The sequence below is a fragment of the Homo sapiens genome, chromosome 20, assembly GCF_000001405.40.
Source record: "Homo sapiens chromosome 20, GRCh38.p14 Primary Assembly".
Classification (NCBI taxonomy): Eukaryota; Metazoa; Chordata; class Mammalia; order Primates; family Hominidae; genus Homo; species Homo sapiens.
The window spans coordinates 42035719-42049636 of record NC_000020.11 but is presented as its reverse complement, the minus strand read 5'-3'; the positions used below and the strand labels follow the sequence as shown (position 1 = coordinate 42049636).

The window sequence follows — 13918 nt, the reverse complement described above, 5'->3', positions numbered from 1 at the left end:
AAGAGATTCAGAGCATACTTTGAGAGCTACTGCCCTGGGGAATGAGGGAATTTGGTTATTTTTGTTTCTGTGGTTGCAGTTAGGCCCTGGAGGTTGGTTTCTTTCAAAGTTGCATTTTATAGGAGTAGTTCCAGGTTCCCTTTAAGGAATCTATTCATGAAACTTGCCTTCAGCCTAGCAGACACTATTAAGGTGTTCACAGAAGGTTTTTATGATTTTAATTAGAAACAGGCAGTGGAGCCCATGTAGCACTTTCCTTTTGACTTGGCAGTCCAGACCAATATTCCCCTAAGGGGAGGCCAAGAGACATGTGAAGGGCCTTCTGGAAGAGTAAGAAACCATGATTTGCTGAGCACCTACTGCATGCCAGCAGCTTCGATGTGCATTGTCACATATATACCCTGTTAGTGGACGTCATTGTCTCACATTTGAGTCAAAGGAGTTAAAGGTCCAATTCAAAGCCACAGGGCTAGTGGCTATTCCAGTTATACTTCGCTAAGTAACAAACTCACCTAAAACTTAGTGGCAGTGGTATGCGCCTCTAATCCCAGCACTTTGGGAGGCTGATGAAGGCGGACCACCTGAGATCAGGAGTTGGAGACCAGCTGACCAACATGGTGAAACCCCATCTCTACTAAATACAAAAAATTAGACAGGTGTGGTGGCGGGCATCTGTAATCCCAGCTACTTGGGAGGCTGAGGCAGGAGAATTGCTTGAACCCGGGAGGCAGAGGTTGCAGTGAGCCGAGATTGCGCCACTGCACTCCAGCCTGGGCAATAAGAGCGAAAGTGCATCTCAAAAACAAAACAAAACAAAACAAAAAAAACTTAGTAGTATTTTATTAGGCTCAAAATGTGAGTGTCCCTGAGTCAGCAATTAATACAGGTCAGAGGGAAGATGACTTGTCATACCCCTTCATGCCTGAGGTTTTAGCTGGGAAGACTGGATGACTGGGAGGACTTAATGGCTAGGGGCCAAAATCATCTAGAGGCATTCTTGCTCACATGTCTGTAGGTTGATGCTGGCTGTCAGTAGGGAACACACTGGGGACAGTGGGCCGGAACACCTACATGCAGACTCTCCATGTGTCCTGAGCTCCCACGACGTGGCAGCCGTAGCATTCTTATATAGTGGCTCAGAGCACAAAATGTGAGTGCCCCAAAAGAACCAAGAGGAAGCTTTATCACCTCTTATGACCAAGCTTTGGAAGCCACATGGCATCACTTCCGTCCTACTCTGTTGGTCACCTAGTCACTAAGGACAACCCAGATTCCAAGAGAAGAAACACAGAGCCCACCTCTCATTGGGAGGAGCACCAGAGAATATGCAGGCATGTTTTAAAACATATACAACAACAGAGCCAGCTTCTGAGCCTGCATCTGGGACCTTTCCCCATACTCAGGAAGAACTGAGTTTCCCATATGAAAAACATCATGCATGAGTTTTATTATGAACTCTACTGGTCAGGGATTCATCCTTGGCCTTTTCTCAACTTCCTTCAGAGTGTGACTAGCCCCTGAGCTGCTCTTTGCAGAGAGGAGCTGGCCATCAGTTGAAACTCTGAAATTCAACCTATGAAACCCAGGGAGTGACCCAGAAAGCCCAATTCTGTTGTTTTCCTCTCCAGCGCCAAGTCAGGAGAATCTTGAAATATTCATCCCCTCAACCCTCACCCTTCAAACCCACTCCATATTTTCCAGAGCAGAGCCTAGGCTACCAGATGTCTGCATTGGGAGACCAAGACTAGGAAGATGATATTGGGCACTGGGAAGAGTATCAAATACAGAGTCAGCAAATAAAATATGAAGTCCTGCCTCCTTCAATACAAAAAGGTAATAGCCATGGGTTTATGGGGTCACAAGGGCCCAGTGTCTCCCAGAAAATGTGACTGACAAATCTCCCAGAAGAACCCATCAAGCATAGCCGCTTAGTCACAGCCCCAAGTTTCAGGATTTTGTGCTTGTCCAGAACTAAAGGGTACAGCCATCCTACTGGACTAGACTCACATTTACCAAGCTTACAAGAAGCTAATGAATATACCTGAATGCCAGTATTTAAATTCAGGTATGAGAAATGCAAAATCAACCATTATCTATCCACAGAGAATCTGCATGGAAGGCCAATTCATCACGATATGATTCTCATGTGACCATGAGCTCAGTGCAAGTGGAACTGGCTATGGGACCAGAATGTGTAACAAGCTGAATGAAGAGGGTCTGGTGGCCTGTCTTCAAAGGAAGAGGGTCTTGTCACTTGCCAAGCTGTCTGACAGCCCAGGCAGCAATCCCCCAGGGGTAGTATAGGTCCTCAACCAATTTAGCCTATTTGCTAAACAAGGTTTCCTATTTGCTAGGATTGGGGCTGAGCCTAGCTATCTCCTACCTCACCCCCAATTAATGACAGTGTGTTTGTAGATGCATCAGTATCACCCAATAGGCTGTACCAAAGATCTTGTCCCACTTCTGGTCTGATTGACATTACGTGTTTAAGGCAACCTCACAAAGTTGTGGGGTTACCTTAACCCCCAACAAGTTACTTGTCCACACTAAGTTTTCATTTCCTCATTGGAGAAGTTTGTCAGGGCCTATGCAAGAATTAATCCACATGGCACAGTGCAGAACCCAACTCACAGGGAGCAATTCTATGTAACACAGTGAAAGTATCAGGCATCCCAAATCATCTCAGGGAGGGCTGGGTGCCAGCTGTCATGGCAGCCCCCAAAGACATGAGGAACCACATCAGAGAGAAACTGAATCCCTCAGGCGTACTTCTGTGGCTACAGGCAGAGCCAGGAATCCTGTGTCCCTCCCTCCGTGCCCCCTACAACACACAGACACAGACACACACACACACACACTCACATGACAACCTTTTCAATGTGTACACGTAACCAGCAGTGTTCTTCCTCGGCCTAACTAAACAAATTGATCAAGAGTCAATACAGGTCCTAATTACAGACTCTGCACTGGAAGATTGATAGAGGGAGATAAAGAGGGAAGAACAGGCCCTTGATGGGCGCCTATAATGAGGTGTCACTGGTCCCCACTGTAAGTCGTTTATAAACATGGTCTCACGTCTGTGGCTGTCAGCATCCCTGCCAGAGCTTAATGAGCTGCTCCTTCCTGCCCTGGGGTTAATGTCAGAAGCTGATCATGTTTTCTGCTGCAAGAGGCACTGGCTGCCTGATGGTTGGTGAATTTCATCTGCAAATGTCCCCATTCACTCAAGAAATGCATTTTCCCAAAACTCCTGGCAGAGATAAGCATTGATTTTTCCATCTGAGCCTCTCAACCCCCAGGAAGTGCCATTGTTGAATTCTCCACTTGCAGCCTCTTAGATTGGGTGGGTTCAGGAGAAGAGTGTCGGCAACACCTGGAGTCTTGAGTCCTTGAATAAAGCGATTAAGAAAGGAGACTTGCAGGCTCGGGGTACAGAGGCTTTCAAGAGCTGTGATCATGGGCACTAAGACCCTAATGGACCTTGGGTGCTCCCAGCCCCAGGAAAAGGCCAGTCCAGCAACTATACAGACCAGACCAACGCAGAGGCGGAGGACATGACTCCAGGGCACTTGCCCACTTCCTCACCTCCATGAGGTCAAGGGAAACCTCCCCCACCAACCCCTGCCCCTTTAGACATAGCCTTGGGAGAGTAGTTGAGGGGTAAATATTGTAAGAAAAAAATCTGAGAGACTTAGTGTATTGCTAAAATAGACTGAGCATGTAACTAGAGGGATGATTTCAATGACTACCTTGAATTATGTTTCTGGATTCAACTAAATTGTGAGGGTCAGCTGATGATTTATAGAGAAATAAAGAAACTACATTTGCTTTGGGAAAAAAAGGAGAAAGGGAGACTTGGCCTCAGTTGTTCAGGTATGAATCCTGGCTTTACTATCTTCAAGTTATGTGGTGTCTGTAAGTCTCAGTTTCCTCATCTGTAAACTGGGAACAATAATAGTACTGTTTAAAAGAAAAAAAAAAGGACTTTCCACTTGTACAGGCACTGAATGCTGAGTTTTACCACACTGGCAATACTAACCAACTGAAGCAGATAAACATCTACGGACTTGGAGTGACCTCAGGACACCAGATCTTCCCTAGACCAACCTGAAGCCTCTCGCTTGGTGAATATAAAAAGACATTTTAATGTATGGATCAATTGATTTATTTTGTCTAATCTAGGATGCAAACTTCGATTCTTAATTAGCATAATCACAACGAAACTTTCTTGCCTGCACGTAAAACTCACTGACATTTTCCCTTCAGGGAGCCACTCAGTGTATTTCTTCCCCAAGTTATCTTCCCTTGGTTGTTAAATTAGTAAATTCAGTGCTGACTCTTGCAATCACTGTGATGGTCTTGGTCCTCCTTTAATAGTACCTCCTTTATTAACAGTACTCTCTCTGGTAGGTAGAATAATCCCCTCCCAAAGGTGTCTATGTCCTAATCCCTGGAACCTGTGAATATGTTAGGTTACATGGCAAAAGAAAATTAAAGTTGCAGATGGAATTAAGGTTGCTAATCAGCTGACCTTGAGGTAAATAGATTATCCTGGATAATCCAGGTAGACCTAACATAGTCAAAAGCATCTTCAAACAGAGATGAGAGAGACAGAAGAGAACCAGAGATGGTAGTGTAAGGACGACTCAGGTGACACTGCTAGCTTTGAAGGCAGAAGGGGCAATAAGCCAAGAAATGCAGGCGGCCTTTAGAAGTGGGAAAAAGGCCAGGAAATGGATTCTTCCCTAGAGTTTCCACAAAGGAAGACAGCACTTCCAACACCTTAAAATTCTAGCCCAGTTAGTTTCATGTCAGATCTCTGACCTCCAGAATTGTAATGTAATCAGTCTGTGTTGCTTTAAGTCACCAAGTTTGTGATGGCTTATCACAGCAGCAGTGGGAGACGAAAGCGAATACCTCTCTCATTGGGTTTCTTCTGAGGATTAAGTGAGTTCTTACAGATAAAGTACTTAGACTCATGCCCAGCAAATCACAGATATTCACTTAACATTATTTTACTTATAAATGCCATCAACTTCTTTATTAATAAGGTTTCCTGCCTCCTCCCTCTTTGTGACCACTCCCATGACTTAACTCTGGCCAACAGACATGGAGGACAGAGAAGAACTGCCCTTTACTGGGCAATTCCTGTGACCAGGCCTTGTGCCAGGCTCTATGCCCAATGCCTAGCATGAGTCCTCTCGATTGGTGTGTGTCTGGAATCATCTTCTTTGGAAAACCAGAATGAGCCTGGGCCTGAGTGGTTGTAAAGTCCTCATAATCAAATCATCAGCTATTTGGGACATCTGAACAAGTACACACCATCAATTACCAGCACACAACTCTTCTCCAAACACCAGCACAAGGCACTGCGTGGCTGGCATTTTCTCAACAGTCATTGTCAAGGGAGCTGAGCTGCCCACAGAGTCCAACTGGAGGAGGCCTCTGCTTCATCTGGGCTGCTAAGCCCTTGGCTTACCCCTCCTTCTGGGAAACAACCACCCCATGTTGTCCTTATCTGTCTGGTTTCTCATTTGACTGTGACTTCCTTGAGGACCAGGACAATGCCTATTTACTCCTCTGTCCCAGTGCTGAGCTCTGGCATGCTGGTCTCAGTGAGTCTTTGTTGCCTGAAGGAGGAGTGAGATTACAAATCATTTTTACTTGTTCCTTTACAAAGCAGGAGCTCTCGAGAGCAATGCTGAGATGAATAGTTTGGGCCTTTTACGTCTCTCACTTGTCTCACTCTAGTCCCAGCCCTGCCCACTGCAGTCAGATATTGTTTCTCCAGCAACTGTTGCTGAAGCTTAAAGCAAATCTCATTAAACTTTTTAATAATAAACAAATCGATTGTCCAACATCACTGTAAGATGATAAAAGTGTCTTGTATATTGGTAAAGATAAAGCTGGGTTATGCTGTGATAGCAAATTAATCCTGAAATTTTAGTGGCTTAACAGAGCAGATGTTTATTTCTCACTCATGTTCCATGTCCACAGCGGCTCTGCAAGGGGACTCTGCTCCACACAGTCACTCAAGAAGCCAGGATGACAGAGGCTCCACTACCTTGTAGCTGTACCATCTGGAATATGTGACCTCATGAGTCATCACAGAAAGGTAAAGTGAGAACCGGAGAACTCACCCCTCATCTCTATACTTTGGCCCAGAAGTAATATGCTTTATTTTTGCATACAGCCCATTAGCTGGAAATGATTGCGTGTCTCACATAATTGCAAGGGAATTGGGAAATAGACTCTTCCTATATATCCATCAGGAGAAAGAAGGGACCCAACATTGTTTACTTGAGGGATAGAATTCAAGTCCCTGCCTTAATGGAACTTACAGTCTAGGGCAGTGGTTCCCAAATTTTAGGATGTGGAAGAACTAGCTAAGGGCTTTGTTTAAAAATACAGATTCTTCACCCCTACCTCCACAGGCTGATTGGAAAAGTCTTGGGAAAGCTTTGAAATATATATGTTTTGTACATTCCCCAGGTGATGCAAGTGTTCTGTGGACCACACTCTGGAAAACAATTATCTAGTGCCTGGATTTGGCCAAACAGGCCATTTCCACCCAAGAACTTGGCCACTGCCAGTGCCATGCATATTCTGACTCCTGTGTGCTCTCTGAGGGCACACATCAGTCTCTCTAAAAAGCGGTGATGTTTGATTTACTTCCTGAAAGCACATACCTGGATGGGCTGGTCTTACAAGGGAAGGCCAGGCTGCCAGCTACAGCTGTGTTGGGGTGCCCATCCCCATGGAGGGATCCAATACCACACTACACACATTCCTGCAAGTCAGGAAGACTGTGGTCCTGACTAGAGCAAATTCTGAAACATGAGCTTTCGCAAGTTGGAAAATAATTCAAAATTGAGTAGATCTGAAAACACTAACTGGCTATAAGGCTGGTGAGTGAGTGAGTGAAACAGTGACCCAAAAGGGCAGTAGCCTTATTTTTGTGTAACATATGAAGAAACATTTGACTTCTCAGCAACTGATATGAGGGAGGTACTATGTGTGCCAAAGAGCGGCTCAGATGAGCACTTTGAGGGCTGAAGTAAGCAGGAGTCCAAACATTATGCAAAAGAATATGCACCAGCAATCTGTGGACAGCAGAGCCTTGGTTAAAGAGGGAAAGCTGCTCCCAGACCAACAGAGGTCAAAGATAGAAATTATTCTGAATTATTTTTAAAAGAGGAGAGGAAAGAGCACCATGGCTTAGAAATGTCTGAGGGACAGGTGACTGGCAAAAGCATCCTGGCAGGCTAAAGAAGTGTTTAATTTATTAGGTGTTTTGCTGCATGGTATGCAATAAAACCATCGTTTGGGCCTAATCTCCAGGAAAATCTCTATTGCTCACTAATGCTTGGCAGAGTGAATTTTCTTTGCAGGAGGGCTGAGTCCTTTGTGAAAAATGTAAACCAAAGGGCAGTGAGCCATTCTCCCTGCTCCACTCTGGGTCACTCCACAACTTAGAGGCTCTGGGCCTTTCAAATGATCTCTGAAGAACTGCTGGACCTGGGTGAACAGAGGAAAAGTCAGTAATAGCTGGATGAAGCCATGGGGCAGTACCAGTGCTTGGCAGGAGTACAAGTGACAGTGATCACCAGCAGATGAGTAGGCCTATGAGGCTTGACACTAAATGCAGGAGAGACAGCATCAGGAAGCTCCCCAAATACTTAGGGCAGGGTGAATTTATTTAATAGGGATTGAAGCTAGGGCATAGGAAGGAAGGAGCTAGAATCAAAGGTAATTTCGATTATGCCACTACCCTAAACAGTTGGCCATGACAATAAATGTAGTAGCAATAATAATGATAATTATAATAGTAAAGAACATTTATGTAGGACTACTACATGCAAGTCTTGTTCTAATCACTTTACAAATATTAATTTATCTATCCCCACAATTTATAAAGTAGGTATATTATTGCCCCCATTATACGAGAACATTGAGCGCAGAAAGAGGGAGTTGCTCAAGGTTGCACAGCCTGCAATGGAAAGCCATCATGGGGATTTAGGCAGCATGCCTTCAAAGTCTATGTTCTGAACTGTTTCCTTTTAATATACGTAAAAGTGCTTTATGAAATAAATGTTAAGGGGCTGAACAATGTAATGTATCACTAGGCTCCTGGATGTCTAGACAAGAGATATTAAAAGAAAAGAAAGGAAAAACCAACCCAAGAACTGAGGAGTTTCTAGGAGGTGGAGAAAATTGCAACTTAAATATATTCCCTGCGACCTCCCCCAGGTGGCAGAAATGCTCACCATTCCAGCCTCTCAGCCCTGTTTCACAGTAACAATTGCTATTCCAGGCACTTCTCTTTGGCAGCTCACAAAAATCAATCAATCTTTAGAGATTGTTATGAACAAGACCAAGCATAGTTTATACTCAGAAAGTCACAGGGCCGGAGAGAGAACCCCAAAACGGGAGCATCGAGGGCAGTAGTGGATTGGACTTATTCAGCACCAGCAATCTATGGACAGCAGAGCCTTGGTTAAAGAAGGAAAGCTGCTCCCAGATCAACAGAGGTCACAAAAAGATGCGAACAGAACTAAGGTTCAGTACTAGAAGCTAGGAGTCCTATGTGAGCACACGCAGAAACACAAGAACCAACACCAAAAGGCTGACCAAATCTGCAGCATCACATCAGCCAAAAACCCTCTAGTGTCAGACAGAAAACCTTTGTACAGAATCTGGAATATGATACTGAAAATCCTTCCTCCAGGTGACTCCAGGCCCAAAGATCAGAGCAGCTTAGGCTTTGCCTGCACCACAGCCAAGATAACACCCCCTGAAGGCACATGATGTGTTTCTAAAGCTCTGCCAGGCAAAGGAGACACCCCTGCAGCATGTGAGAAAGGCATTTCTGATGTCTGTGTCTACATTTAGTCTTTGTTGATGTATTTATGTCAGATCTTGATCATCACACTTTTCCATAATTTAGGCTGTTTTCCTTCCAAACACACTAAATACATGTTACTGCTAAGAAACTGAGCTCTCAATTTACACTGTTTTGCACTCATTTCTTAAAATATCTTGGTGACATCTCATGGTGAACCACAAAGCTATTCCTGATGGAATTCCTATCTGGATGGTGAGGGAAAGTAGATGGGCCTTCCTAGGAGCACCTTTAGAGAAGGTTAATCCTCCACAGTCATCTCACAAGGTATCTCTCTATCATGATCAATATATACCAGGAACCCCAGAGAAAGCCAAGTCTCTTAGACTTTGTTCAACTTTAAACAAGTCCAGTTAAACAGACCCCAAGCTAGCCCACCCTGACTGAAAAAGACTCTAGCAATCTAACCTCCTTCTCCTCCCGGTGTGGCCCCTCCAGTAAGGAATGGAGGCTGAACCTGCTCAGACAGCCTGTTTCTCCTGTCTCCATGGCTAGGTTGGAAGGCAACTCTGTGGCATCATCCCCTTTAAGAATGAAGCACTGTGCACTAATTATCAGGAAAATGCCACTTACAACCACAAGGAGATATCACACCTGTTAGAATGGATATTAGCAACAAGACAAGAGATAAAAAATGTTGGTGAGACTGTGGGGAAAAAAAAGGGAACTTTTGCACACTGTTGGTGGGAATATAAATTAGCACAATAATCGTGGAAAACAGTATGGTGGTTCCTCAAAAAATTAGAAGTAGAACTACCGTATGATCCAGCAATCCCACTACTGGATATATATCCAAAGGAAATGAAATCAGTATGTCAAAGAGATATCTGCACTTCCATGTTTATTGCAGCACTATTTACAATAGCCAAGATATGAAATCAAACTGTGTCCATCAATGAATAAACATTGTGTATATATACACAATGGAATATTGTTGGAATATACGGAAAATACCTTGGAATATATATGGGTATATATATATACATAAATACATTCCAACAATACTGTTGGAATATATGGAATATACATTACTATATATATACACAACAGAATATTGTTGAGCCTTAAAAAAGAAGGAAATCTCATCATTTGAAATAACATAGATGAACCTGAAGGACATTATGTTAAGTAAGCCAGGCACAGAAAGATGAATACTGCATGATCTCACTTATATTTAGGATGTAAAATAGTTGAGCTCATAGAAATAGGGAATAAAATGGTGGTTACCAGAGGCTGGGGGCAGGGAGTGGGAGGACTGAGGAGATGTCAGTCAAAGGTCACAACATTTTAGTTACATAGGAGGAGTAAGTGCAAGAAATCTATTGTGCATCATGGAGACTACAGCTAATAACATATTGTATATTTGAAAATTGCTAACAGAATGGGTTTTTTGCCAAAAATAGGTATGTGAACTAATGCATATGTTAATCAGCTTTATTTAGCCATTTTACCACATATGCATATATCAAAACACTATGTGATCTACCATAAATATATACAATTTTTACTTGTCAATTAAAATAAACATTTTTAAAATAAATTAATTTTTTAAATGGGGACAAAAGAAGAAAGCACTTTGCATGTAACTGGATCCACAAGTAGTCTCCCTGAAACTGTGCTCTGAGAAGCAAAGGAAACCACTAGACAGATCAATCCCAGACAAACCAAATCTCTGCAATTAGAAACTCCACAACCCCGCTCCTGCAACCCACCAACATGGCAAAATTTGGTATCTGGGGTGAAGAAGCAAGAATAGGAAGTATCGGGGAGAAGTTTGGGCTGGAAGAACTTTTGTACATTCAGATATCTGTGGGAAGTGCCTTCCTAATAATGCCCACTGGTGACTCCCTCTCTCCTCTCCACCCAGTAGTCCACCATCCAGCAGTCTCTGCTGATGCAGCACAAGGTCTGGTTCCCCTCCTGGAACCCGAGATTCTCCACATTTTACCTTAGCCTACTCACCTGGCTCCCACTCTCTTGCTACCTTCTGAGCCTACTAACTGCTGGCTTGTCTCCATGCATGTGTTAGCTCACTATATCATCACCACACCCTACAGGGTAGACTCTATTCTTACTCTCCTTTTAAGGGTGGGAAAAGAGTAGCATGTCTAATGTCACACAACTACAAAGTTATAGAACCAGGGACTGCATCCAGATAGTCTAACCATAAGCCCACCATCACCATGAAGCAAACCATAAGCACTTTGTGTCCCCACACAGATGCCCTTCCTTCCCTAGTCCACTCTGCTCATCCTTCCAGGCCCTGCTCAGACACCAACTTCTCCACAATTGCCTCCCACATCCCCCAAGTTGGACTCACTCGTGCATTTCTACATCATGCCTAACACTTCTCTTGGAAGTCTTAACAGTCTGGGGTATAACTTGGGCTTGTTTCCTTCTCGTATACTTGTAAGAGTGACTTATATTACACTCTAGGTTCTCCACACATGAGCTGTGTCACCTTGAGGGAGCCACTTTACCTCTCTGAGCCGATCTCCTTATTTATAAAATAATGTCTACCTTCCAAGTTGCTGGGCGGATTAAAGCAGAGCACATTTATAACTCACCTGTCACAGTGCCTGGCACACAAAAGGCACTCCTTGAATGTCAAGTGGAATATTATTCTGTAAGGTGTAAAAAGGTGGGCTTAGTTGTGTGATGTGAGAGAAGCTACTAACTCTTAAAGGAGAGTAAGAATAGAATCTACCCTGTAGGGTGTGGTGATGATACAGCTAGCTAATGCATAGTCTGGCATAAAGTGAGTGCTCCATAAATGTTACCTGCTATTGCTGGCAGCCACTGTCCCCTCCTGGAAAGCAGCAGCTGTGCCTCCTACACCCCACCTAGCATCAGGCCTGGTGCACAGCAGAGGAGCTGAAGCAAACCATAAACGCTCATCTCAACCTTCCTCCAACAAGCAGCTCCAGATAGCAGGGAAGAGTTTGCCAAATGTGTCTTCAGTGTCCTTCAGTTATCTATCTTCACATCACAAAATGGCAAAATCAGAACGTTTAGCCATCTCAACCACCGGCACATTTCACAGGTGAGGATGGAAGAACTGAATCCTGAGAAACTCCTCTGAGGTCCACAGTGCATGCATTTCCTCTCTCAGCTGGACTTTCCCAGTAGAAACGACTGTCATTACTGAAATGTCAGTTTTCCCCTCCTGCCCTTGTCTAGCCCCTCGGGTGCCACTGGGTGTTGCTCACAAACCAGGGGTGATGCTTCATGTCCATGTCTAAGTGTGGTCAGACCATAGTTTGCACAGAGCAGGAAAGGGGATCTTAAATGAGAGGCCTCTCCTTTTGGTGGAGGTGAAAGTGTTATAGGGTCCCCTGTACCCCTCCCTACAGTGTTGGCTCTGAGCTCACTGTTCCCTGCAGACCAGGTGGGGAAGGGCCTAGAGGGAACTTCCATGTGAGCTCTGCACCAACCACAGGATGGGCTGTCAGCAGCAGGTTCACACCTATGACCTCCTTTAACCCTCACTGCCACACAGCATCATTGTTTCTGTCTACAGACAAAAGTGATGAGGCTAGGGTACGGGGAGGAATTTACTTGACCCACTTTGCACAGTTTACTTGGAGATTCCAAGAGTCCATTTGTAAGTAGTAACAATTGATCCATGTGTGAGAAGTGGGATGCCTGTTTGCTTCTGCTGCATGGCCATGGAGAAGACGTTTCTTCTGGCCATGATGAGGACCTGGTCCTCTGAGGGAGGGTTGCTTCAGCTCTGGCATGCTATCACAAATGAGTGATCACATGTTTGGTGATTCTTAACTACACCAAAATGAGTTATTCAATCTTGGAGTCCCACTGATTCTTTATTGCCTCTTCCATTTGATGGACTTAAGAAACAACAACTTCTTTCTGCTGATATGCAAGGTGCTTCTGGATGTGCCTGGAGGTATAGGTTTGTCCTCTGCTCTCCTTGTCACAAGCTGAGTACTCCCTGGGTCTCCTCACCTGCAATACTTATGCCTGGCTCTGACTGTGGCCTCTCTGGCTGAACCAGCCACTTGGACTTTCTACTCTCTCACTTTCTTCCCTTTAAATTTTTACTCAGCCTGTGTTTATCTCAGGCCTTCATCCTCTAATGCTGGACTTTTAAGTGCTCTTCGGGATTCCTGCAGTTCCTGACTTTTAAACCCAATCATTATCTTATTTGCTAAGCACTGCTGGAGGTGCAATAAAGTAGAATGGGCACCAACTGTGGAATCAGACACACCCAGGGAGAATATTGAGCTCTGCTACTTACCAGCCTGGACAAGTTAGGTAGCTTCACTGAGCCTCAGTTTCCCCATCCATAAAATGGGGCTGAAAATAGTAACCTCATGGTTGTGAAAACTATGTAAGAGTATACGTGTGGCTGGCACACAGCAATTTCTCAATAAACTCTAGCTATACATTTTACTAAAGACCTTGCTGCCTAAATGAAATGAGCAGATGTGACCGGTGCCCTGATGTTGTGTCCACTTGTCCTAACTCAGAAGTCTTCTGGGGACAGTTTCTGTATGCACCAATGGCCACAGGACAATGCTGGGGAGTTAGCAGCCCAGGAACAAGCCTCAATTACTGAGGGATGGGAGTTGGTGGATAAATTTTCTAGATTCCTCACCCCAGTGGAGTAATCTAAAGAATGTTCAACACCACCACTCAGAAGGCTACAGTCGGACTGAGCTCCAATTGCCCACAGCTATTGCTCCTCCCTTACTTGTCACACTTCCCCTACCTAGTCATAGTTTGTCCTGTTATCTTCTCCCAAAGAAACTACTTACACCCAAACCCTTGTCTCAAGGTCTACTTTAGATGGAACAAAAACACAGATAAATGAATGAACTCCCCATTGCAATCTAGTGCATTCAGTGCTATGATGAGCTGTGGCACTGAGGGCATCATTCTAGTTTAAGGGATGCATAAAAACAACCCATTCTGGGAGCTCCTGCCAGAAATGACCACAGTCTACCCGAGCACTATCAATTTTTACTGAGTGCCTATTTTGTACCAGGCACTCTG

At 44.3% G+C, this 13918-nt stretch overlaps 1 protein-coding gene and 1 long non-coding RNA gene across 3 annotated transcripts in view; one reads left to right on the top strand and one right to left on the bottom strand.

Annotated features, from left to right (window-relative positions):
* Window positions 1-13918, bottom strand: part of LOC101927182 (uncharacterized) — a 204657-nt gene that overhangs the window by 58868 nt on the left and 131871 nt on the right. The gene's annotated exons all lie outside the window — the stretch shown is intronic.
* Window positions 1-13918, top strand: part of PTPRT (protein tyrosine phosphatase receptor type T) — a 1158017-nt gene that overhangs the window by 1140270 nt on the left and 3829 nt on the right. Inside the window, exon 31 of the mRNA XM_047439848.1 lies at window positions 5998-6115. Within this exon, the coding sequence (XP_047295804.1) occupies window positions 5998-6093 (96 nt within the window). The 3' untranslated portion in view covers window positions 6094-6115. The remainder of the gene's footprint in view (window positions 1-5997; window positions 6116-13918) is intronic.